The 25,864-nt window shown below is 51.4% G+C and overlaps 1 protein-coding gene across 3 annotated transcripts in view, besides 3 other annotated features; it reads left to right on the forward strand.

The window, feature by feature from the left end:
- Positions 1 to 1,273: 1,273 nt before the first annotated feature.
- Positions 1,274 to 25,864, forward strand: part of GLP1R (glucagon like peptide 1 receptor) — a 42,523-nt gene continuing 17,932 nt past the window's right edge. For all 3 annotated transcript variants that reach the window (NR_136563.2, NR_136562.2, NM_002062.5), the window contains exons 1-6: positions 1,274 to 1,411; positions 8,890 to 8,986; positions 9,965 to 10,072; positions 18,204 to 18,322; positions 18,690 to 18,796; positions 25,355 to 25,508. Coding sequence is in view for 1 of the 3 variants with exons in the window: in NM_002062.5 (NP_002053.3) it covers positions 1,334 to 1,411; positions 8,890 to 8,986; positions 9,965 to 10,072; positions 18,204 to 18,322; positions 18,690 to 18,796; positions 25,355 to 25,508 (663 nt within the window). In the remaining 2 variants the exon portion in view is untranslated. The remainder of the gene's footprint in view (positions 1,412 to 8,889; positions 8,987 to 9,964; positions 10,073 to 18,203; positions 18,323 to 18,689; positions 18,797 to 25,354; positions 25,509 to 25,864) is intronic.
- Positions 1,958 to 2,458: an enhancer, noted in NCBI's record as "H3K4me1 hESC enhancer chr6:39017241-39017741 (GRCh37/hg19 assembly coordinates)". NCBI's record gives its function as "activates a minimal SCP1, AML or CMV promoter by ChIP-STARR-seq in naive H9 embryonic stem cells {active_cell/tissue: H9 hESC(naive)}" and the evidence as "EXISTENCE:reporter gene assay evidence [ECO:0000049][PMID:30033119]".
- Positions 6,594 to 7,095: an enhancer, noted in NCBI's record as "H3K4me1 hESC enhancer chr6:39021877-39022378 (GRCh37/hg19 assembly coordinates)". NCBI's record gives its function as "activates a minimal SCP1, AML or CMV promoter by ChIP-STARR-seq in naive and primed H9 embryonic stem cells {active_cell/tissue: H9 hESC(naive and primed)}" and the evidence as "EXISTENCE:reporter gene assay evidence [ECO:0000049][PMID:30033119]".
- Positions 7,096 to 7,595: an enhancer, noted in NCBI's record as "H3K4me1 hESC enhancer chr6:39022379-39022878 (GRCh37/hg19 assembly coordinates)". NCBI's record gives its function as "activates a minimal SCP1, AML or CMV promoter by ChIP-STARR-seq in naive and primed H9 embryonic stem cells {active_cell/tissue: H9 hESC(naive and primed)}" and the evidence as "EXISTENCE:reporter gene assay evidence [ECO:0000049][PMID:30033119]".

Raw genomic sequence — 25,864 nt, forward strand, 5'->3', positions numbered from 1 at the left:
AGTGATACCTAGAAGGTCCCTGCTAGACTGACCTCTTGGGAGGGGAGGGAATAAACGAGTCTCAGGTGGTGGAACCAGAGCTTGCTGGAGAGGAGAGTCTCTCCTGGTGAATGGAAGCCAGGGGCCCCTCCCACTGGCTGTCTCCTTCCCTGGGCTCAGGCAGGTCCAGCCTTCCTCAGGACTTTGAGAAGTTCAGTTCTCTCCCCAGGAGTAGCTACTTTCACAAACTTCCTGTCCCTTTAGTCGACATGCCCCACGGCAGGTCCGAGGCTGGGCTCTGCCACAACTCATCTTTCCTAAGAGTGGCATCAAGGTTCTTTGGTGGGGGATCCTCTTTTCCCATCCCCACTTCTCAAGAGCATTAGGGAAGATACAGTCAGTGCCCTCTTAGCATTCTCTTTCCACTTGTTGGGTGTAAGAAGGGAACCTGAGGGCCCTGCAGTGTTTAGGGGTGGGAGTGGAAACAGACAGGAAAGATCCAGAGTCCCCAAGAAGCGAAGCAGGGAGAGAGATAAAGAAGGCAGGAACAACCATGGACACACATTATCACACATACACAGGTTACAAGAGCAGGAGGCTGGAGCTGCAAGAGGTGGCAGGGAAGCTTCCAGAAAGGCAGACCCCAGCCTCATCCCTCCCTGCCCTGCAATGCTGAAGTTTCCAGGTAGAGGGGAACCTCTAGACCCTTGCGACTGTCAGAGTTCTGTGGATCCATTTGTCAGTCTCCCCACCCCCAACCTTGACTATCCTGGGCCTGCCTTCAGGACAGAACATGGGAATGAGAAGAGGACCTGGGAAGGGGTAATCCTGGGAAAAAAAAGTTCTTATTAGTCACCCCTGGCTCTGAGGATACTTTCCAGGAGTGGCCTGCCAAGCCGTGTGACCTTGGACAAGTCCCGTCCATTCCTCAGGCCTCAGTTTCCTTTGAGGGACCCTGAATGGGCGGGGGTTGCTGTAGCTTTCCTCAGCTGGGAGACCCGGGAGGAGGTCCGGGGTGCCAGGGTGGGAGGAGGGCCTGGCTTGTCGCTGAAAGCCGGCCAGGCGCACTGTCGGCGCTCAGAGCTGGTGGCCGCCTCCTGCGCTTCCTGATTCCCAGCCGCGCTCGCTCGGAGAGCAGTGCCCGCTATCTCCTGGCCCGGGACCGGCAGAGGGGTGCGGCGGGGCGGGCCCAGGGGTCTCTGGCGGCCGGAAGAACCGGGACCCTGCCAGGCCCCTCCCGCGGGCAGGGCGGCCCCTCGCCGGCTCCTCCCCCACCGCCCGCCACCAGCCCGGGATCAGTCTCCGCACGCGGTTCCGCAGGTGGCAGCGATGGCCCAGTCCTGAACTCCCCGCCATGGCCGGCGCCCCCGGCCCGCTGCGCCTTGCGCTGCTGCTGCTCGGGATGGTGGGCAGGGCCGGCCCCCGCCCCCAGGTGAGATCCAGGGACCCCGACGACACCGGGGGAGGCGGGTGGCTCTGCGGGCTGCAGGCGCAGTGTCCTGGTGGAGGGCCCCGGGACTTGAACGAAACTCCGAGACCGCTGGCGGGGGCATCCGAAAGCCTCGGGGGGAGTAGGGACTGGAGACTTGGTGCCCCTGGGCTGGAAGGCCCAGGTGAGGGCTTGGACTACAGAGGATTCCCCCCAACCCCAGCGAGGCGCCCTCTTCCTCGCCACCCGGGTCCCTCTGCCCGGGCACCCGCTGCCCCGCGGCCGCCCTGCGCTGACTTCTGCTCCGCTTCTCCTTTGTCCCCAGCACTTTCCCAACTCCTTCTAAACCGTGTCAGCGGCCCTGGCACAGCCCGGCATCCTCCCGGACTCCCTCTGCCCCACAGTCTGACCCAGACCCCTCTCCCGCAGTGCCTCCCCAGACAATCCACCTGCTCAAAGACCCTGAGAAGACCCTGGGAGGAGCTGAGAGGGCCAGGGTGCGGAGACCCGGCTCCTCTCCCTTTCTCATCAGCCCCCAGCACAGCCTTTGATTCATGGCTCCTGGGGCCCTGCGGTGGCAGCTTGTCCTTCCCAGTGACCTCCCAGATGGAACCTACCCCCCGTCCCCTACCAGCCTCTGTAGCAAACAGGCAGAAGGCTCAGTGCCCCCCTGGAAGCAGCCAGGCGCCCCCACTCACCCACTCTGCTGACCTCCCATTCTCATCCTGCACTGACAGCAGGCCCCAAGAGAAGGCATACTGGGACACGCAAGAACACCTGGGCTCCTTGGTGCCACCAGAGAGCAGGCCACAGGTGGACCACCGCAGCCCCTCTCTCTTGCCCTTGTTGCTTTTCCTGCCCTGGGATCCTGGGCTAGGGACAGTGGTCAGCTGCTTTTGAAGAGGGGAGCTGTCCAAAGATGCTGGGACTTGCTTGAGCAGAGAGGAGACATAGACTTGGGTGGCCTGTCCTGGGTCAGGAAACAGGTTCTTCCTATCACCTCCCACTGCTACCCCCAGACCTAAAGAACTGAGATCTGTGGGGAGTGGACCTGAACGAACCTTGAAGTTTGTCCCAGAACCATTGCCTTGGTGAGGGCAGACTCCACCTCGGCGGAAACCCCAGATGTGGACAGACATACCTCTCAGCTAAGATGCCAGCACATTTTTCAGCCCCCAGATTATTTTCCAGACGCATCCTCTCCCTGCCCCTGTTCCCCAGCCCAGCTGCTGTCCTGAGCCCCAGGAGACAACCTCCCCCTTCCAAGACACCTTCCTCACAGCGCCCCCAGCCAGGCCTTGGTTTTCCTGGTGCGGCTGGGATCTTTCAGGGGCCAGGGCTGCAGACCCAAGATGTGGTTCTTGCCCATCGTTCCCTCCTCTTACGGACTGGGTTGGGATAGGGGTGGAGGCTCTGCTTCCTGGTTCCATCCTCCTCCAGGCCAGGTTTACAGGTCTGGTTTGAATGAAGGGAAGAAAGCAAAGGGAAGAGGAAAGTTTCTGTGAGCTGTCTTCCCAGAGGCCTTATTCCCAGAAGTGTCAGGCTCCTGAACCCACACTTTCCTCTGATCCGATTTTACTCCTTAGCCCCAGGCCTAAGGCAAAAGCTGGGCATCCTGGGGGCATAACAGGATTGGGGTGGTAGAGAAGGATAGGAGGGGACAGGTCCTAGCAGGGAGGGGAGCTTTGAGGGGGTGCTCTTGTCATGGGAAACTGAGCTGCCACAGAGATCTGAGTCACAGGAGGTGTTAAGGATAGATTGCAACAATTATGACACAACATCATGCGTGCTTATAAGACTAAAAAATAGTGTATTTTGCATTTTGTTTTCTGTCTATGAAGTCAAAAGGGTTAGAGTTACTCCCCTCATGTTGCTGATGGGGGAATGAAAGCTCAGAAAAAGAGGGTCCCCTGTATAAAGTAGCCCAGCAGTTCAGGAGCAGGGAAGAGAAAGGGGTGAAGGGCTGGGCTCTTGACCTAACACCTCCTACTCAGACGGGACTGAAGGGAGACCTCTGAGAGTGAGCTGCTCACTGTCAGGTCTCGTGAGGCTGGAAACAGCATCCCTGCAGGTAGGGGGATGGCTGAGTTGACTTCTGAAGAAGGTGCCCTAGGCTACTCTTTCATTGCTGCTGGGAAGGCTCATTCCCCTACCCTGGTCCTTACCTCTCCAATACCCTGGTGAGGGAGCGGGCCTACTGAGGAGACAGGCAAGCCTTTGACACTCAAAGTTAAAATCAGACACAACTGGATTCAAATATAGGGTCTGCTATTAGCTGGTGATCTGGAGTTGGACACTTGGTTATCCCCAATACATGTCCTTATCTGTAAATAAGGATCATAAGCTCTATCACATAGGGTTATGGAGGGGATTGAGACACTGGCCCCTGAAATGGCAACTTTAGTCACTTTAGTCAAATGGCAGAACTGACCCATTTGTCCTTGGGGATCCAGAAGTGTTTTCCAGGGCTGCAGGATAGTATGAGAGAGGGGCTGTTGGAGACCCTGGGTCTCTGTACTCTAGTGAATGGCAGGTGGAGTCCAGGGCTGAGCCTTGATCAGTGCGGACATTGTTCTAAGCTGGGTTTCCTCCTGGACAGGACCCAGGCTGGGGGCTGGGGCAGGAGCAACCAAGAAACCACATCCTGCCCTCGAATGCCTTGCACCAAGGCAAAACAGGCTTCCTCAGCTGCAGCCTGCCCCTAGGAAAATTCCTATGTGTGTGTGGTGGTGGTGGTGGTTGGAGGAGGGGACAGAGATACAGACAGGTAGTCTGAGACAGACCAGGGGGAGAAGGGAGTAGGCTATATGAACCCCCAGTTCCCAGGTATGTGTGAGTGACCCTGTGTGTAACAGTCTGTGTGGGAATGAGTCCCTGTGTGTGCAACATCTCAGCATGCAACTGTACATCTGACAGTGTCTATGTTTTTGTGACCCTGCATATGATACTGTGTCTGTGGGAGGGTCTGTGTGTGTGTGTGGGGGGGGGGGCATCTTGGTGTGTGAATGGGTGTCAACTAGTGTGTGTCTATATGTGCAGGAGAGATAGTGTGCATGTGAGAGTGTCTGTGTGTTCCTCTGTGTGTGTGTGTTGGGGACAGTGTCTCAGCATGCGACTGTGTACCTGGCAGTCTGTGAGTGATTGTGTGTGGTGGGAGAGAGTCTGTGTCAGTGTCTCAGTATTGGGAATGTGCTTGGGGGCGTGTGTGATGATGCGTGTGACCGTGTGTCCACGTGGGGGTTTTTGTGACTGTAAGAACATGTGTGTAGTATTCCTTTTCCTGTCCTTTCGTTCAGATATCTAAAGCCCTTAGGGAAAAAAAATGGATTGTAAGCTCTGAGCTTTTGAAAAAAAAGAAAGAAAGAAAGAAAAACAAGGGGCGGTCAAAGAGACAGGGGTCTGTTGATGGAAGGGGTGATTTGACTTCTGGGAGGTGACACAGAGGAAGGAGGTTGGGGTCCTGGGAGGAGATGCCAGGGAACCTGAAGGGCTGGACTTAGTTGGGGGACTCCAGAAATTTGAGTTGGAATCCCTCCTTCCTCCTTCTGAGAGGCCTTCCTGCATGTCTCCCACCTCTGTGCCACCTCCTTCCCGTCACCAAAATGGTCCCCAGAGAAAGAAAGAATCTGATACACTTATTCGCACTGAGAAATAGGAGTGCCTTTCAGATTGGCAGCCAGTGTTTGGAGAGGGAGCCCCTTCCTGGGGTGTTGGAAAGCCCACCACCCCGGGGGCTTCCACTCCACCTGCTTCCTTCTCTGCTGTCCTTCCTTCCAACGCTGCCTGCTTGTACAGGGCTTGAGAAGTCACAAAGATTTTCACCTGCTTTATCTTGTTGGATCTGTGCAGTTTGAGAAGAATGATATGCCCATTTTATGGACGGCAGAACTGGCAACTGATGAGGAAACTGAGGTCCTAAAAGATAAATCGTGTCCCACAGTCCTGCATTAACAGAGCTGGGATTTAGACCAAGAACTTATAAATCGCTGTCCAGTGCTCCTTCCTGTAGACCACACCACTCCCTCCTGGTGTCCTCTTTCCTGTCTCCTGCTTCCTCCAAAAACTCCTGAATCTGAGGGATGCCCCTTCCTTCTTGTAACCTCCAACCCAGGTGTCGTCTCCACGTGCCTTCATCCACCTCAGAGAGATCCCATGAAGCCTGTCAAGTCTTGATTCTAGAAACTGCCATCCTGCCCTTCCCATGGCCCTTTAGACCCCCTCTGACCGCTGCTTTGCTCTCCTGGTCAGCTCTGCTGCCTTGTGAGGGACAGGGACATCTGGATTGCATCCTTCCCGCTACCCAGAACCCACAGCCCCACCTTGTCAGGCTTGCAGCAGGGACTTATGTTGTGGGAGGATGAAATGGAGGAGTGGGGGACACTGGTGGGCAGGGCCTTGCCCCTCCTCACAGGGCATGGGGTCCAAAGCTTCCTCCCTGCTTCACTTTGCCATTGGCTGTGGTTACTGCTGGAAGATCTCACAAATTAAGCAGAATGATTGGTCATTGGACATGAACATATATTCATTTCCTCTTTCTGGGAATATGTTGATCCTAGAAGTGAGGAAGGGGTGGGGCCCCAGTCCCCAGGAAGCCTGGTCACTCCCTCCCACTCTGCCCTTTCCACTAAACAGTAGAAATCATGGGGATTGCTGCCATTGACTGAGCCTTCTCCATGTGCCCACCATCCTAAGCATTAACTCAGTCCCCACAGCCATCCCATGGGGGAGGGGCTGCTGTTCCCTTTTGCACAAGTGTAAGCTGAGCCTAAAACATACAACTCTTGCACTCGGTTGCAAACCTAATATCTGGGTGACCCAGGTCCAGGCCCAGATCTGAGCCCAAGGCCAGGGTTGTTCAGCCTCCACTATGTTACCTGGGCACCCAGGCCCTATGGCACTGGGTGGCCCTAGCCTCATTTACTCAGTCTTTCCCCAGACCAGAACCTCCCATCTGTCCCAGGGCCCACCACCACTCTCTCCCTGCCCCAAAAAATCCTCCTGATAACAGTCCACAGCTCTCCTCTGCTCTCCGGAGCACTGATGTCCCCACCTTTGTACCTTTTCCCTGCTGTGCCCTCCTGCTGAAGTGCCCGCCCTCCTCCTTGCTAGCCCAGTCTGCCTCCAACCCCCTTCACCCCAGCCCCACCTCACAGTCCCCAATCCCTCAGGCCTCTTGAGTCTGCACTGAACCCTGCCCCAACCACTCCCTGAACACTTTCACCCACTGCCTTCCCTGTTATGTCACTTGTCCTGTAAAGCATTGACCCCCGAGTAGCCTGAAGACTCTCTCAGGCAGGGCTCCTGCAGTCACCTTTATACTCCCTGCATTCCCCTCCACCCACGACCACCCAGAACCTGGCACAGTTATGGTTTCTGTAAATACGAGGCGTGGGAGAGGCCAGAAGTCTGGGTAGTTTGCACTGTGTGTGCCTGCAGGGGTGGGATGAAGGCTCGAAGGTATTTAGAAGCCCTGATCTGGTGTAGGGAGGGGACAAGATACTCTTACTGTCAGGAATCCCTCACCTAAGGGGGAGCCACAGCCCCATCCTCAGGAAGCTCCAGTCTGAGGGGAGACACAGCCCCGTCCTCAGGGAGCCCCAGTCTGAATATAGTTTTATGTCCACAGCTCTGCTCAGAGTAGGTGACAGCGCTGCCCTGGGGTGCAGGAGGCCAGATTGGCCTTCATGGCGCTGTCGTTAACCCCTCCCCCCGCCTCTGGGAAGAACTGGCTTCCATACCTCTCTGCCTGCCCCAGACACACCTTCTGCCCCAGTTCCCAGCAGTGACCTTGTGTGTGGTCTGCTTTCATTCTAGAAACAGAAACCAAGGGGGATTTCTCCGTCTCTCTGCCCTCCACCCCCAGCAGCTGCTGCATTTAGGGGCAGCATGGAAGAGCCCTTTACCCGGAGAAGAGGGAAGAAGTGAGAAGGGAAACGGGGCGGTGGGGGTTGATCCACCAGGACTTGCTCTGATGAAAACTGTGCCACCTCCTCAGCTGTGGCTAATATCATGGACAACACCTTTGCAGCTGTTATGTTTGATTTCTTGTTCTTTTTTTCCCCAAGCAAATACAGTTGACCTTTGCCCTCAGAAGAGCTCTGTCCTTCAGGGTAGCCCCTGCCGCCTTGGCACACTTATGCCAAGGATGCTGCTGGGGCTTAAAGTGAGCTGGGCCCTTCCATGGGGCCTCCGAGGCAGCAAGGGGTGAGCAAGGCAACCCAAGTCTCTCAGGGAGGTGTGTGATAAGCCAGCTAGAACCCGAGACTGGATCCAGCATGTGCCCAGCACGCTACAAGGCAAGGGGGCAAGCTTCTAAAAAGAAGCTATTTTAATTTCAGCACACGTGGACATTTTTGTGATTTCAAAAAGCAAAATGTTGTTTTAAATTATGTATGGGTCCTACATTTTATACATGGGGCTCTTGGGTCATTTCAGCATCTGCAGCCTCTGAAGGACGAATATTTATAATTTTTAAGGCTGTTCAGGAAAAAACTAAAAAGAACGACAACCCCAAGACATAGCTGAAGGAAGTGCACAAAAACACTCAGAAGGAATGGTGGATTCTCAGTGGGATGGGTCTGTTTGGGTCTGTGTGCTGAAAAGCCATTTCGGTGACCTCACTGGAAGTGGAGGCTCAGCTCTCCCTACTCACAGGTGAGAGGGATCCCTCCCATTGCACGTGTGACTTCAGTGTTCTGGAACCTCCCTGACCCCTTCACCTCATGTCCTCAGGACTCTTCCTTTGGGTGGATAGAAGCTGGGTTGAATATTAGATTTGGTTGCTGTGTCAGAGGGGAGCACGGGGAGGGGGTGGGGGGTGCTGTGTTGAGTGCATCTGTAAGTGAGTGCGTTTTGGAGGAGGAATGCTAATGGCAGACATCCCAGCTCTTTGTAGCCCTGAACGCCACTACTCTCCCCGGCCCCCGCACACCTTGCGATATTCTACCATGGTCACTGATCTGAAGGACTCCAGATTCTAGCCTTAACTCTGCTTCCTGGGGGGGCTGTGCACCCTTGATTCAGTTCCTCTCCCACTCTGGCCTGTGTGTCTTCTTCTAGAATGGTTGAAAGTGCAAGAAGCCCTCAGGCAGGCTGACTAGGCGCCAGAAGGAGCTTAGAGTCCTGGGCCCTCAGAAAGTCTCTCTCCTAAGTGAGATCAGAGATCACAAATGAGACACACACGCTCCTTTCCTCCTTCACCCACCCACCTCCCCAAAAGCATCAATTTAGCAGACATTTGCTGGGTGCTCGTGACACATCAAGCTATGCACCCTGGGAGGAATGAAGATGTCAAACCATCCACCTGGGGCCCCTGGGTGGCAGTGACTTATTCTCACTCTCTTTCAGAGGTGGCTGATGCCTGGCAGAATTTGGGGCTTTGAGGTTTCATGGAGATTGAGAAACCAAGTGTGTTAGGGGGTGAGGGGGCAGGAGAGGGGCTGGCTGAACCCACAGGCCTCCCATATATGCCCTCCCCCCAGGGTGCCACTGTGTCCCTCTGGGAGACGGTGCAGAAATGGCGAGAATACCGACGCCAGTGCCAGCGCTCCCTGACTGAGGATCCACCTCCTGCCACAGGTGAGTCCATGTAGGCTCCCCACCTTTAGTGCTCCCCACCCAACCAACTTCTGGAGGACTTTGATGAACTCAATGTCCATGGCTGGGAGCCATTTGCCTCTATAGGATGCCACCCCTGCCCTCTGCCTTCATCTCATTGTCCAAGCTACTCCTTCACCTGGATACCTTCCTTTCTGCCGACCAAAATCTTCCTTTTCTTCAAAGTCCGCGGAAGCACTGCCTCCTCCAGAAAATCTTCCCCAGGACTTCTGCCATCATTTGGCCCTTACTCGTTTGCTGTAGTCTGCTTTGGGGTTGCTGTCTTATTTCTGTCTTAGCTGTCTTATCTGTGTGTCCTTCCCTGCACCGCCGGCCAGCCCCCCAGCTAGAGCCTCTCAGAGCAGGCACCCGGCCTTTCCATTTTTGTCCTCAGCACCTCCCAGCCTGTGCATGGACTGAGGGCTCCACAAACATATTTATAGGAATAAATGTTTCAGGGAGTTCACAAGGTGGTTTAAAGAGCACGGGATTGGAGCCCGCTGGGCCTAGGTTGAAATCCTGACTGTAATTATAACACGTGACCTAAAGAAGGTTATCTTAAGTGAGATCAGAAGGAAGGTAAGCTAACATTTCCCTCTAATCTGTGAAGTGCAATTTAAGAATAGGCCCATAGGGATTTTTCATTGAGCACGTACTATGTTCCATTATCTATGTAGCATATAGTCTTGATCCCACAAAACCCTATGGGGCTGGAAATACTCCTGTTTTACAGATCAGGAAACAGACATTAAGTTACTTGCTCAAGGTCCTGCCACTGATAAGTGGCAAGTGCCCCTGCTTGGCTCTTGCTGGGTGGGGAAAGTGCTTGGCATACAGTAAGCATTCAGCAGAGGTTAGTGGCATGCAGCCTCCGAGGAGGGGAGGGGTCTTGGGGAAGGGAGGGAAAGGGCCATGGCCAGTCACAAGCAGGGACTCAGAGACTGTTCTTTCTGCTCCCAGACTTGTTCTGCAACCGGACCTTCGATGAATACGCCTGCTGGCCAGATGGGGAGCCAGGCTCGTTCGTGAATGTCAGCTGCCCCTGGTACCTGCCCTGGGCCAGCAGTGGTGAGCCCCCTCCCCGACCTGGTACCTGCCCTGGGCCAGCAGTGGTGAACCCCCTCCCCGACCTGGTATCTGCCCTGGGCCAGCAGTGGTGAGCCCCCTCCCCGACCTGATACCTGCCCTGGGCCAGCAGTGGTGAGCCCCCTCCCTGACCTGGTACCTGCCCTGGGCCAGCAGTGGTGAGCCCCCTCCCTAACCTGGTACCTGCCGTGGGTCAGCAGTGGTGAGCCCCCTCCCTAACCTGGTACCTGCCGTGGGTCAGCAGTGGTGAGCCCCCTCCCTGACCTGGTACCTGCCCTGGGTCAGCAGTGGTGAGCTCCCTCCCCCACCGTCCCCTGTATCGAGGAGGCTGAGGTCAAGGCGCTGCTTCCTTTCCTCTGAGACACAGCCCTCCCCACCCAGAATGTCTTTAGGCCTCCTAGTGAGTGGTCCGCCTGCCTTTCCTGGGGTGAGGGGAGCAGTCAGTAGTGATAAGTTTCATGATGGCCTGAGGTACCACCTGGGTCTGGGCGTGAGGCCAGTGCTGGCCAGTGTGTGGGGAAGGGAAAGTAAGTGTCTGAAGAGAAATGCGACCCCTTCCAATTCAGTAGTCAGGAAAAGAGCTGGGTGGGGACAGACTCTTGCGGGGAGGGAAGCTACCCAGGGTGTCTGCTGTGTGTATACATGTATGTATGATATGTGTATGCAGGTGGCCCATACCTGGCAGTGACATTTAGCTACTTCCTCACTCTTTAGAGGTTCACTGGGAGAAGTGATCAGGGCATTGGTGGGGTGACGAACCCCACCAGACTCAGCCCTCCTCAGCTCACTCCTGCCTGCAAGGGGGACCTTGTACTGGGGAAGATGTGACTGGGTAGGTGGGAAGGTCATTTCATTGGGGGTACAGAGATTTGCAGAGGCTGCAAGAGGATCCCTGACTGGAGGGTTAGTTAATGTGCCCCGCTATCTATCCCAGCCTCCCTTGCTGAGCCCAGTTTCACCCAGGCACCGTGGAGGATAACAGGAGACAAGCACCCTCATGGCAAGGAGCTCCCAGTCTCCATAAGGGGAGAAAAGATATTTCCCTATCATCATCATCATCATCATCATCATCACCATCACCATCATCATCGTCATCATAGCCAGCATTTATTGAGTACCTACTGTGTGCCAAGTCCTGCCCTAAAAGCAGGGCTTTATAACTACCCTGTGGTTATACCTGCTGTACAGATGAGGAAACTGAAGCACAAAAAGTTTAAGTCACTTGTTCCAAATGATGTGGTCAATGGCAGAGCCAGGATTTGAATCCAATTCGTGCTCCTATCATCACACCTTGAAGGGGCTGGAGCCCAAGCAGCAACTGGCCCAGAAACAAGTGCGGGCATGAGGTTATGCTCTGGGGAAGCCAGGTGTCTTCCTGGAGGAGGTGGCCTGGTGGGGCCCAATGTAAGCTTCACCTTGGCACGTGGGACTGAAGTCAGATGAGGCCCAGGCTGGTCTCCTAAAAGTACTGTCTCCTTGTCCACACTCACAGTACACTCACCTCTCCCCAAGGAGCAGGGAGAGCCTGGGCCTAGAAGGAGGCAGGAGCCTGGGCCCATCAGTGGCCTGCCTTCTCCAATACTGCCTGTTGGAAGCACTTTCCGTGCTACACTCTTTTCATCCTCACAACCCTCTGAGGCAAGTACTCTGATTACCCTCCCATTTTCAGATGGGGAAACTAAGGCACAGAGGTGCTCAGTGACTTTTGCAAGCTCACACAGCCATTAGTGGGCGACCCAGAAGCTTGGTTTAGAGTCAGTGTGGCTAATTGCTACACCAAAGTCTTCCTTGGGGGTGTGTGTGTGTGCCCTTGCATGTGGCTCTGGCCTGGAGACAGGTGAGTGATCTGGATGCCCTCTGCTGTCTGGGCACACCTCTAGGGACAGGGGTGAGCTGTCTGCCCTCTCCTATGAACTCTGCAATCTGGTGGTTCTGCTGACTAGCCGTGTAAGCAGGAGCAAGTTGCCAGACCTCTCTGTGCCTTGGTTGACTCATCTGGGAGATGGTATAGAGCCAAGTGACATGGGTGTCGGGAGGACCACAGGGCCTTGAGAAATGGTAGCTGTTAATTTTTCCCACCTCCCTACATACCTCCCTGACTTCCTGCAATACACACACTTTCTCTGCCTCCCATAGATTTGAGACTGGCAGCTTGGCCAGCGTCTGCTGGGCCTCTAGACCCCAGGGAGCCAGGCGTAGGACAGGGCCCATCACTCAGCACTAAGCCACCCCCAGCTCTGCCTGCCGCTTGCAGCTCCATCCATCACCTTTAATTTTATTTGAGCAGGAAATAGGTCCTGGTGGTGCCCGTTTATGAGCAAACATGGTTTTATTGCTTTCTCCATGAAGATAACGGCCACTGCACAGGCCCCCTGCCAGCCTTTCCCCAACCCCGTCCCCCTGCCACTCACCAGGCTAATTTACTCCCTTTTTTGACACTTGGAATCACCGACTCTGCTGCCCTCTCCTCACTCCCTGAGTTACGGATGCTCAGAGACAACTACCACAGGCTCAAGCTGCGTAATTGCTGCCTCTGGCCTGTCCTGGAGCTTTCCTTGGCAAAGGTTGGCAGCGGAGGCTTCCCTGACCCCCACCCAGGTGTGTGGGAGCAGTTCTGAAGAAGGGGACAGTTCTGGAGCTTTCTTGGGCTGATCAAGCGAGTAGCCTGTGGAGAAACGTCACAGTGTGCCCTGGTGTCAAGGAGAAGGAAGGGAGTTATCTCAGGCAGGGTCCTGGCAGAAAACATGCTCAGTTGGCAATTTGGAGAGAATTTAATGTTGGGGAGGGGTCATTTTCAGAGGCTGGCAAGGTAAAGGGACCAATGAGGCATATAAAGCACCAGGGACTACAACAATGGAAAGCTTGAGCACCCCTAGACCTGAGAAGGAAGGGACAAGAATGGGGCTGGGGGGTCCCCATGACAGCTGGGCTACAATGGAGAAGCCACCCAGCAGGGCTGTGGCCACAGAGGGGACAAAGTCACAGGCAGACTTCAAATCAAGGCAGGGAGGGAGCAGGGGAGAACACCCAGCCTCTCTCTCCCTCTGCCCTTCCATCTTCTGCCAATGCCTCCCACTGGCCCAACCCAACAGAGGCCAGGGAAGCCGAGGGGTGCTGTCCCATGGCTCAGGCTTCTAGAGTTCAGAATGGAGCAGAGGAGTGGTGATCTGAGAAACAGCAAAAGTCAAAACAATCACCAGACCCCTGAGCTGGGTTGTGTTAGGAGCTAGGGATGCCACTGAGACCTTAGAGGTGTGTGAGTGTGTGCATTGGGGAGAAGGGGTAACCCCCCTCCATGGAGCTGAAGGTCGGCTCAGCAGCCCAGGCAGTGGTACTGAGGGAGGCCAGAGCCACCCCTTCTGCCAGGAGTGTGGCGGCATTAGGAAGGCTTCCAGGGACAGGTGACACTGGGGCCAGACGTGAAAGAACAGGCAGATGCAGAAGGGAAAAGGAAGCTCCTCCAAGGAATGAGGGTTCCAGGCAGCACCCTGGACATGGGGCCAGGCCACGGGCCTCGGAACTACGCAGTGTCCTGGAGAAGCCAGCCAAGCCCTTGAATTCTGACCCCTCTAATTGAGAACTTGGGTCTCAGGATTGTGCAGAGAGAGCAGGAGCAGATGAGTCAAAGACAGAAGATATTCAAAGGAAATGGCTGGTACAAACGAGACTGGGAGGAGAAGGCTGAAGTGGCTTCAGAGAGCCTGTTGGCCGCCCGAGGGCCCTTCAGCAGCCTCGTTTACCCACAAACAGCTGATCTGCTTGTTACAAATCATTCCAGCCTCATTAGCTACACCTCCTCCTGATCCCTACCTGTTTGTTAGCTTAGTTCTAATTATATGAGAGTCATAAAATGCTTTAAAAATAACCTATAACTCACAGTTCTTGGAAACTCTGGCGGGTGCCTCCCCTGAGTAATGTGGAGCCTGGGGGTTTTTACGACAGCCTGGGGTTGCCAAGGGGAAACTGAGGCCCAAGCTTGTCCCCAGAGGAGTTCTGGCTGAAGTGGTGTCACAAGCTCCATCTCCAGCCTCAGTGAAGGAGTGCCCCTTCAAGAAACCGGCATGGGGGAGGATGTTTCAAAGGTCTACTATGTACCGGGCACTTCACATGCTTTATCTTCTGGGAAGTCATTATGCTTCCCATTTTACAGATAAGGAAACTGAGGCCTGAGGATGTGAAGGGACATGCTCAACATCCCACAGCTGGTTGAAGGCAGAACCAGGATTTGAACTTGAGTCTGTGTTGTTCAGAACCTGAGCTCCTTCTCCTAAGCCCTGATGCTCTACAGTACCCTTCACCCTGGCCTTGAGCTGATGCCTTCATTTCGAGCCTGGCCTTTGACCCTCACCTCACTCCCTTGGGGAGGCCCTGTGCCTGGCCTCTCTGAGTCTCAGCTTCTGCATCTGTAAAATGGGGGCCCAGTAGTCCTTGCTGGCCACCTCGTTGCCAGGGTGCAGGAGCTAATGGATTCATGAGCAGCTCTCCACAGCCCTGAGTGCCAGCATCCACGTGGAAGGGCGGCTGTTAGCTTGATTACAGGCGCCGCAGCAGCTTCCGGGAGGGGAAGTGTTTAATTGGGGGTTTTATTTCCAGCAGCAGGGTCTGGCTTAATGAAATATCCCTGGGCCTCCTGGCATGTGGCTGCCCTGCTGCCTCCCTGTGTTGACAAGCCTTGAGCCAAATCCCTGGCTGTGATTTACCAGCTCCTCCCAAGTCAGATAAAGCTGGGTTGATAAGTAGGGCTATGCCCTGACCCACCCCACCTCCAGCCAAGGTGGGCATCTGGGGATCATGGGCCCAGCCAGGAACCAGCCTGGCTTTTAATATTTGATGTTAATGAAGGGTAATTGACAGATGCACTTGCACAGGCTCACTGAGCGAGGGACACAGTGATCCTTTGACTCTGTGCTAGTAATGCACACATCTGTGCACACACCACCTCCCCACCCTCCCAACTGGCTCTGAACAGAGGGAGCAGGAATGGTGCAGCGGCCGGGGGTCCACACTGGCAAGGGGGCCTGCTGGGAGGAGACTGAATGTTGAGAAATCTGAGCCCAGAGGAAGGGCAGAGGAGAATGGCACATGCCACATTCTTTCCTATTAACAGCAAGTTTGGCTGCTAACTTGGGACCTCCGGAGGCAAAGAGCTGGCGGATTTTAGTCTTGACTCTGCTACTTTCTAGTTGATGATCTTAGGCAAGTTGTTTGGCTTCTCAGAGGCTCAGTTTCTTCATATGTACAATGGGACTAACTGTTCCTACCTTGAAAGGTGGTTCTAATGTCCAAAGGTGTCAGGTGTACAGTAGGTGTTCAAAAACTGATTCTGTGAAGGCACAGCCTATGGAAAGAGCAAGTAAGGAGCATGTTGTGAAGGAATCTGCAACAAGGCAGTGCCTACTGTATGCCAGGCCCTGTGCCAGCTGTGGGAAGTGCATCTTACTAGCATCACACGGTTGCAGGCTGAGTCCTGGGTATGCGGGTCTTTAGATGGTTTGTGTGCCTGTGGTTCCATGGCTGTGTCTTCTTTTCTCTGGTCCCTCAACCTTCTTCCTTTCTCCCCATTTCCTCCCATCAAAGCAGGCTGCTAGTGCAGGCTCTGACACCATCTCATTCCGCATGGAGTCAGCTCAGGTCCCCATCACTGCTTTTGGGGGTATCTACAGGAAAACACTGATTTTGCCTCACGTCAGAAGACTTGGCCCCAGTGAAGAATCTCAGGCATCCATGCAGCAGATAAGAGAGGCATTTGTGGGCTTGAGAGGGGCCCTTCGCGTTGCTAAAATCAGACCACGTGCCTCCCCTTCTCTGCCGTTGGGGGTACACCTGATTTTGTTCATAAATGCGTTCGAAGGGTATTGGAACACCATCGTTCCCACTGCTGTCAGTTTCACCATTAGATTTTCAGGTTTTTGTTTTTCTCCCAGGTGAAGTATCTTTTAAAATGCAGGTTCTTCCAGAAGGAGTCATGCTGCAAGCTGACTTGCCCCACTGTGTTACCAGATAATTTCTGTGTCTTGAAGGGGGACCTGGTTCAGGGTTTGTTTGGGAAAGGAGCTGGGAAGGAGGAGAAGAAAGAGCAGGGAGGCTGTCCTGGTGTCTGGGATCAGGGTTAGGGGAGGGCAAGGTCCATTGGCAGGCCTTGCTGACAGTGCTGGAAGAGGCTGTCACCAGACTCTGCAGTAAAGTTGTCCCTGCCACATTTTTTGCTAGGGTGAAAAATAGAACTCCCAGACTAGATGGTTGCCCCTGTCCTGCACCCCTGAGGGTCAGGCCCTGGGGCTGCCACAGTCCCCATCGTGTACACACACACACACACACACAGACACATAACACACACACACACACACACACACACACACACACACCCCACATTAATGAAGCCTCTTCTCAGGAGACTCAGTTCTTTTTTTTTTTTTTTTTTTGAGGCAGAGTCTCACTCTGTCGCCTAGGCTGGAGTAGTTAGTGGCTTGATCTTAACTCACTACAACCTCCTCCTCCCAAGTTCAAGTGATTTTCGTGCCTCAGCTTCCTGAGTAGCTGGGACTACAGGCGCACGCCACCATGCCTGGCTAATTTTTTGTATTTTTAGTAGAGATGGGGTTTCACCATGTTGCCCAGGCTGGTCTCGAACTCTTGAGCTCAGGCAATCCACCTGCCTCGGCCTCCCAGAGTGCTAGGATTACAGGCATGAGCCACCACACCCAGCCGAGACCCAGTTCTGACTGCTGTCTCTCCACATGAACACTGAGCAGCCACTGCCCCCAGTGGGCCTCTGGTGCCTTCTCCATTCTCTGGCCTTCACTCCCTCCTTCCTCCCACAGCTGGGAAAACTGGTCTTTAAAATCTTCTAGTCTTTTAGAATGTTGAACTCTTTTAAAGTTTGTCCTGGCTGCAGCTTCTCTCCTTGGTCCCCCTGTTCTTCCTACAGGTCAATATCCCCCCACCCTCTCATTGTGCCCTTTTGTCCCAAGTTCATTGGCCCTGGTGTCAAACTTAAGTTCCCCTACAGAGAGGCCAGGAATGAACCATTTCCTCCTGGACACAAGTAAGCAGTGGCCTCTATCAGCCTCACATCAAACCTGAGGCCACAGGCCAGCCATCTCCCTGGTAGGTGGACATGGGGCATGGTGGGGGACAGCCTCTGCTGGGATGTGAATGGGCACAGGCAATGCCCCGCCTTGCCTCTGCAGGGCCTGTGTTTGATCTCTGTTAGTTTCCATCTATGCTCTTCCTTTCTCAGGTCTTTTTTGTTTTTTCTGTGTGAGTCTTGATTCTCTGAAGACAGGGACGGTGCCACCATCCTCAGACAGGGGAGCTCCCTGAGGACGGGGGCTGGATCCCTTTCCTCTCTCCAAGGGCTATCTCCATTTCCAACCTATAATTAGAGTCTATGTGAAGGTAGGAGCTGGGTATTCCCTTTTTCTATGGGGGATCTCCAAAGGCCAAGGCTGCATACGACCAAGAGGCCGTGTACTCCTTTTAGACCAGGGGGTCCTTGCAGGTAGGTCTGTGTCTCCTCCATCAGATTAGAACTTCTTATGGGCAGGGCTGTGTCTCTCTCTCTCTCAGATCAGTGCTCTGTCTTCCTTCCCTTCTCTTGGGAACTCAGTGCCAACCTTGTTCCCAGGGTCTGCTCTCCCCAAGGAGTGTGGGAGGGAGGTGGGCACTGAGTCCTAAAAATCAGAAATAGCGAGTGACTGCGGGGCAGGCACGGCTGCTGCTGGTCGGTGCCAGACCTTGTCAGTAGTGTGATTTGAGGCTGGAGGCAGGGACATGGAACTGAGCTAAACTCCTGTCATCTCAAAGGCATGAATTCATTAAACTGTGTCCTAGGGTTGCCGAGAGGCAGGGCTGAGGGTGGAGCTGAGGAGCCCCTGCCTTGGTGGCCCCCTGTCTTGTCCCTGGACCAACAGCGTATATGTCAGGGGAGGAAGGTCCAGGTGTGTGTGTGTGTGTTTGTGTGTAAAGAAGGGAAAAGGATGTCACTAACTCAGAGTAGTCCATTCTGGGGGAGCAGGGATAGCCCTCAGAATGGGGAGGAAGGGGAGCATCTAGCACTGGGCAGGCTGCCCTATTCTGGGCTGAGGCTCAGGGCCAGGTCTCCCCACCCCAGTGCCGCAGGGCCACGTGTACCGGTTCTGCACAGCTGAAGGCCTCTGGCTGCAGAAGGACAACTCCAGCCTGCCCTGGAGGGACTTGTCGGAGTGCGAGGAGTCCAAGCGAGGGGAAAGAGTGAGTTGAGGCGGGGTTCTGAGCCAGGGAGCGGGGAGCCATGTCTTGGAGCACTTCACTGGAGCAAAGACCCTTGGCTTTGATGGGGGCATCTGTGGTCATTTCATCCATCTCCTTGCCTCTGGGGGCTTTGCACACCATGCTTTCTGGACAAAGGTGGTGTGTATTCACCTCTCTGGCCTTGGAACAGGGCCCAAGATATCCAAGAACCATCGCCGTAGGTTACGGTTATTCTCTTTCTTGGTCTTGGTATCCCCGGTGAGTCCTGACTTGGGGCCCCAGCTCTGTCTCTGTGCCATGGGAAGGAAGATTGTGGGAAGAGGGCCATGGGCTGCCCATGTACACGTATGTCCCCCGTGTGCCACAGAGCTCCCCGGAGGAGCAGCTCCTGTTCCTCTACATCATCTACACGGTGGGCTACGCACTCTCCTTCTCTGCTCTGGTTATCGCCTCTGCGATCCTCCTCGGCTTCAGGTAAGGTGGCCCGGACCCTGGGAGGGGGCTGCTTCATCCTAACTCCCCCAGATAGAGGAATGAAGCAGCCCAACACCAAATCAAAGCAACAGTGCAGCACATTCGTCCTTCTCTCAAGAGCTCTCTACAGAGCCCTGACCGTAGAATATGAGGTTGAAAACACAGGATGTGATACTGTGTTCTTGGTCTAGTCTCCACGGTGTAAAAGTGTGCGTATGTACTGCAAAAAAGAACAAAAATACCACGCAAGCACCACCAACCTCAAAACCTTAACCGTCGGTGATGGGATTACGGAAAATCCCAGGAGATCTTCTCCAATGAACATGTGTAACTTTAATAATCAAGAATTCAGTATGATTTTAGAAAAGATCTTGGGGATTAGAGATCTTCCTCCCTTTGGAGCTTTTCAGCCCCAGTGGAAAAGTTCCTCCTTAGATCTAACCTAGATGAGACGTTCCTTCCAAACTAGGAGCTGGGAACAGAGTACCAGGTTCTTCCCACTCCTCTGCACTTGGAGAAGGGGGGCCAGGGGGACTGGGTTCAAAGAGGGAAGGGATTCTGAGAGAATGAGACCTCAGGACACCAGGCAGCAAGAGCAGGAGAGGTGGCATTCCCTCTCCTACCTTCAAAGCACCTGGCACAGTCCTGGGCACACGGTGCTCAATAAATGCATTCACTCAATGAATATTCTCCTCTTTTATTATGAATTATTCCAGTGATTCAAAAATGCAATGACTGATACTATGATCACTCATGCACACACCATCCAGCCTAAGAAATAACATGTCCCATAGTTACACTTCTCTGGGTAACCCTCTCTGATCCCATCCCTCTCCCTGCCCTACACCCATCAGAGGTAAGCCCTGAATGTGCCTCTTTTAATTCCGACACATTTCCTTGTACTTTTACCACATTTGTGAGTAGCTATAGAAATATATAGCAAGGTTCTGTGTATTTTTAATAGTGTATTGAACATATTTGTCTTAGTCTTTTCCTGCTGCTATAGCAAAATACCTTAGACTGGGTAATTTCTAAATAACAGAAATATATTCCTCACAATTCTGAAGGCTGTGAAGTCCAAGATCAAGGCACCAGCAGATTCCATGTCTAGTAAGTTCTTGTCCTCTCTTTCCAAGATGGCACCTTCTCACTGTGTCCTCACATGGCAGAGGGGCAAATGGGTGAAAAGCTCTCACAAACACCCTCAGGTCTCTTATAAGGTACTAATCCCATTCGTGAGGGCAGAGCCTTCATCAACCTTATCACCTAAAGGCTTCACCTTTTCATACTATTGCCTTGGGGACTAAGTTTCAACATGAATTTTGGAGTGACACAACATTCAAACCATAGCATTCTGCCCCTGGCCCCCCCAAATTCCTGTCCTCCTCACATACAAAATACATTCATTTAATCCCAATGGCTCCAAAGTCTTAATTCATCCCAGCATTAACTTTAAAGTCTAAGTCCAAAGTCTCATCTAAATATTATTTAAATCAGGTATGTGTGAGACTCAAGGGATGATTCCTCCTGAAGGAAATTTCTCTCTAGCTGTGAACTTATGAAATCACTGAAGTTATGTGCTTCCAAAATGAAATGTTGTGGCAGGCATTCTCATTTCATAGGACAGACATTCCCATTTCAAAAGGGAGCAATAGGTCTGCATGTGGTGGCTCATGCCTATAATCCTAGCTAATTGAGAGGCGAAAGTGGGAAGCCTGCTTGAGGCCAGAGATTGGAGACCAGCCTGACCGATGTAAGAGACCATTAAATAAATACAATTGTTTATTTTTTTATCTGGAAAAAAATAAAGAATTAAAATTCAAATAAAAAAAGAGAGAAATAGGAAGGAAGAAAGGGGTAACTGGTCCCAAGTAAATCCAGACTTAATGGGACAAACAACATTAAATCTTAAAGCTTGAGAATAATCTTCTTTGACTCAGTGTCCTGCCTTCCTGATATGGAGGTGGGAGTTGGGTCCCCAAGTCTCCCCGAAGCCCCACTCGCACAGCTTTGCTGGGTTCAGCTCATGTGGCAGCTCTCACAGGCTGGAGTTGTGTGCTGGTGGCTCTACCAGTCTGGGGTCTTGGAGGAGAATCTTGCCCCCCATGACTCTGCTAGTCATTGCCCTAGTCAGGACTCTCTGTAGCGGCCCCACACCTGTGCCTTAACTACTATAGATTTATTAGAAACCTCCACTCTGCCTGGGCCCTGAGGCTCTCCAGGATATCCTTTGAAATCTAGGTCTTCCTGGATTTCAAAGAAGTAACTATGTTCCCTACAGCTCGTGCACTCTGTGTGTCTGTAGAGTTAGCACCACGTGAACACTGCCGAGGTTTACTGCTACGTCCTCCAGAGGGACGGCCTGAGTTATACCTGGGCCCACTTGAGCCGCAGCTAGGGTAGCCAAGGAGCACTGCACCCAAGTGTAGGGAGCAGAGACAGGAGGTGGCCCTGGGCAGTGACTTCCAATGCCTCACAGTGTCCTGGGCTCCTCCCCCAGAACTGTTCTGCTCTCAAGACCCTGACATCTGGACCTGAAAGATCTCTGAAGTGCATTCAGGGTCATTCTTCCATTTTCTACCCATACTAATTTTATTAAATGTTCACTTGGCCACACCCTTGGTATTGTCTCCTGAACATGCTTTTGCATTCTTTACAATATGGTCAGACTGAAAATTTTCCAAATCTTTAAGTTCTCCTTCTCTTTTGATTATAAATTTCATCTTTCATTTCTCTCTTCTCATATTTTGCTATAAGCAGTCAAGGGCAGCCATGCTGTACCCTCAATACTTTGCTTAGAGATTTCTTCCACCAAATATTCTATTTCATTGCTCATAAGTCTTTGCTCCCATGAAACACTTGGACATAGACACAATTCAGCCAAGTTATTTGCCACTTTGTAACAAAAAGATGGCATTTCCTCTGGTCTCCAATGCCATGCTCCTCATTTCTATCTCAGACCTCATCAGAATGGCCTTTACTGTTCATATTTCTACCATTATTATGTTCACAACCACTTAGATAATCTCTGTGAAGATTGAAATTTTTGGCCGGGCGCAGTGGCTCACGCCTGTAATCCCAGCACTTTGGGAGGCCGAGGCAGGTGGATCATGCGGTCAGGAGATCGAGACCATCCTGGCTAGCATGGTGAAACCCCGTCTCTACTAAAAATACAAAAAATTAGCTGGGTGCGGTGGCGGGCGCCTGTAGTCCCAGCTACTCGGGAGGCTGAGGCAGGAGAATGGCGTGAACCTGGGAGGCGGAGTGAGCAGAGCAGTGAGCAGAGATCGTGCCACTGCACTCCAGCCTGGGCGACAGAGTGAGACTCTGTCTCAAAAAAAAAAAAAAAGACTGAAATTTTCTACATAGCTCTCATCTTCTTCTGAGCTCTCACCAGAATCACCTTGTATGGCCCATTTGTGGAAATATAGACTTTTTTCTATCCCACCACCCAGTTCCCAAGCTACTGCTACATTTTTAGGTATTTGTTACATGACTCCCCACTCTCGGTACCAATTTCTATCTTAGTCTGTGCCTGCTGTTATAACAAAATACCTTAGACTGGGTAATTTTTGAAAAATAGAAATTTATTTCTCATAATTTAGAGGGTGGGAAGCCCAAGATCAAGGCACCAGTGGGTTTGATGTCTAGTAAGGGCTTGCTCTCTGCTTCTGAGATGGTGTCTTCTCACTGTGTCCTCACATGATGGGGAAGGAGTGAACACTATGCCCTCACATCACAGAAGGCAAAAGGGCAAAAAGGGCTCACAAACTCACTTAGGCCTCTTTTATAAGGACGCTAATCCCATTCTTGAGAGCAGAGCCCTCATGATCTAATCATCTTCTGGAGGCTTCACCTCTTAATACTATCATTGCATTAAGGATTAAGTTTTATCATGAATTTTGGAGGAACACAACATTCAAATCATAGAAATATTTTTCTGTAATTTTTTGGTCCAACATTATGTTTGTGTGAGATTCATTCACATTGACACGAGCAGTCCTGTTTTGTGGATTTTTAACCACCATTCCATATTCCGTTGTATAATACAGCACAGTTTATCTGTCAACCTTTTAATGGACATTTGAGTTGTTCTCTTTTTTTCTTTCTGAATTACAAATGTTGGGTGCAATGTACATTCTTACTTGTGCATTTCTCTGGGGCATATAACTAGGAGTAGAATTGCCAGGTCTGACTACCACCTGCTTTCGCAATTTTACTATGTTAAGTTGTTCTTCACAGTGGTCACACCAGTTTACCCTCTCATCAGTAATAAAAGAGAGCTTCCTTTGTCTAGCCTTCTCACCAATATTTAGTGTCTTCAGACTTAATTGTTGCTAACCTGAAGTATGTGAAATTGCCTTATGATTTTAATTTGCATATTCCAGATTCCCAAAGAGATCAAGCATTTTTTTTCATGATTTTTTCTGTGAGTTGCTTTTTCATATCCTTTGCTTACTTTTTCATTGGCTTATTTGGGTTTTTCTTTTCTATTTTACATATTCATTATATATTCTGGATACTTATCCAGGATTTACCCTCTCTTTAGTCTGTGGCTTATTTTTTCACTCATTTTATGGTTTTTTATGCACAGAAGTTCTTCATTTTAATGGAATAAAGTTTATCAATTTAGTATTGATAAATAAAATTTATCAATAAAGATTAAGCAGTTGATAACAGTTAATTTTATTGATTGCTTTAAAATTATTCATTTTTTCCAAAGAACAAATTCTGGACAGTCTTATTAAGAAATCTTTCCTTGGCTGGGTGCGGTGGCTCACGCCAGTAATCCCAGCACTTTGGGAGGCTGAGGTGGGTGGATCACAAGGTCAGGAGATCGAGACCATCCTGGCTAACACAGTGGAACCCCATCTCTACTAAAAATACAAAAAATTAGGTGAGCATGGTGGCACCCGCCTGTAATCCCAGCTACTCAGGAGGCTGAGGCGGGAGAATCACTTGAACCCAGGAGGTGGAGGCTGCAGTGAGCCGAGATCACGTCACTGCACTCCAGCTTGGGCGACAGAGCAAGATTCCATCTCAAAAAAAAAAAAAAAAAAAAAAGAAAGAAAGAAAGAAAAAGAAATCTTTCCTTACCCTAGTGTCATAAAGATGGCCGTCTATATTTTCTGTAAGTTTCAGAGTTTTGCTCTTCCTTGTGGTTCTTTGATCTGCTTGGAATTCATATTGCGTATGATATAAATAAAGGATTTCATTTTTTTTTCTGTATGTGGAATTAGCTGCCTGAGTACCATTTATTGATAGCCTTTCCTTCCCCCTTGGTTTGCAATGACTGCCATTCCATGCAGCAAGGCTCCACGTATGTATGGGTTGGTTTCAGTCACCTACAGTTTTTTTCTGTTTATCTTTCCCTGTCCGGATACCATGGTGCCTTAGCTACTGTAGATTTACTAGAAATCATATAGCAAAATCTCCTCCTCTGTGATTCTTTAGGAGTGTCTGGAATATTCTTAGCCCTGGCTCTTCTTTATAAGTTTTTAAAGTTCTACTTTAAAAATAAGGTAGAATTTTTATGAATACGGAGAGACTTGACTCCTTTAAGGTAGCGAGTCTTTCTATCTGTGAATGTGATGTATCTATCTCCCACTAGTTTAAGTCTTCGCTAATGATTTTAAGCAAGATTTATAAAATTCTCCATCGAGATCTTACCTATCTTCTGTTAGACTCATTTCAAGCTAGTTAATTAAAAATATTGCAAAAGAATTATTTCTAAACATTTACTTTTAAATTTTTTTAACGCAGGCATATACAAACATACTTATCAGCAACCTTGCTAAACTGTCTTATTAGTTCTAATAATTTGTCCATAGATTTCTTGAATTTTCTATGAAGATAATCTACCATCTACAAATAATAACTATTTTGTTTACTTCTGATTCTTGTACATTTTTCCCTTGCCTTATTATAGTGGGCAGGATCTGTAGTTACAATGTTGACTAGAAGCAGTGATAACAGACATCCTTATTTTGTTCCTGATTTCAAAGGAAATGCTCCCACAGTTTCTCAGTTAAGATTGATATTTGCCCCTGGTTAGGTAAATAGCCTTCATTAGGTTAAGAAATGCCCCTGTACTTTCAATTTGCTACACATTTTCACATGAAAGGATATTAAAACTCTATCCAATAGTTTCTGAATTCCTACCAAGTGCCTAGTCCTGCTCTGCCTCTGTGAGGCATTTAGGATGTGGGCCCTGTCAACAAGAAGCAGTGTTCCCACTGGGGAAACTGATCCTCATGCATAAATCTCTTTGGTTATGCAAGACTTTGTGTCAAAGAAGATGCTGCAGAGAGAAGGATAGAATGTGGATGGGAGGAGGGGGCAGTGACTACATAGCGGAAGCCTTCATGGAGAGGCAGGATTTGAGTTGGACAGAAGGATTTTCACGATGATGAGGAAGAAGGGTATTCATAGAAGAAGACACACGCACAGTCCCAGGGCTGGAAACATGCCTAATGTGTGTGTTAGCTTGAGAGCCTGGGGTTGTAGAGCAGAACTGTTGGCTGCCTTGCCAGGGAAAGGCCCTGCTTTCTCCCTCAGACACCTGCACTGCACCAGGAACTACATCCACCTGAACCTGTTTGCATCCTTCATCCTGCGAGCATTGTCCGTCTTCATCAAGGACGCAGCCCTGAAGTGGATGTATAGCACAGCCGCCCAGCAGCACCAGTGGGATGGGCTCCTCTCCTACCAGGTGTGTGGTGCATCCAGGACCGCCTCAGGAGGGATGGGCGGTTGGAGGAGGCCTGCCTCTGCCACCCTAGACAGGCCTGGGACAGGAGAAGACAAGAGCCGAACAGTCCTGGCCCTTCGGGAGCCCCCAGTCTGATGGGAGAGGCAGTTCGCCTTGGGACCCTCCAGTCTGCTGAGAGAGGCAGTCTACCTTAGGGAGCTCCCAATCTAAGGGAGGAGACACTGCCCTAGGGAATTCTCAGTCTGACACAAAAGAGTAGTCTTTGGAGACACACTTGAGTTTGAATGTCAGCTCTGTCACTTACTATCTGTACACTTTTAGGCAAGTCACTTACTTCTCTGAGGCTGAGAAATAGG

Source organism: Homo sapiens, chromosome 6 (assembly GCF_000001405.40).
Source record: "Homo sapiens chromosome 6, GRCh38.p14 Primary Assembly".
Classification (NCBI taxonomy): Eukaryota; Metazoa; Chordata; class Mammalia; order Primates; family Hominidae; genus Homo; species Homo sapiens.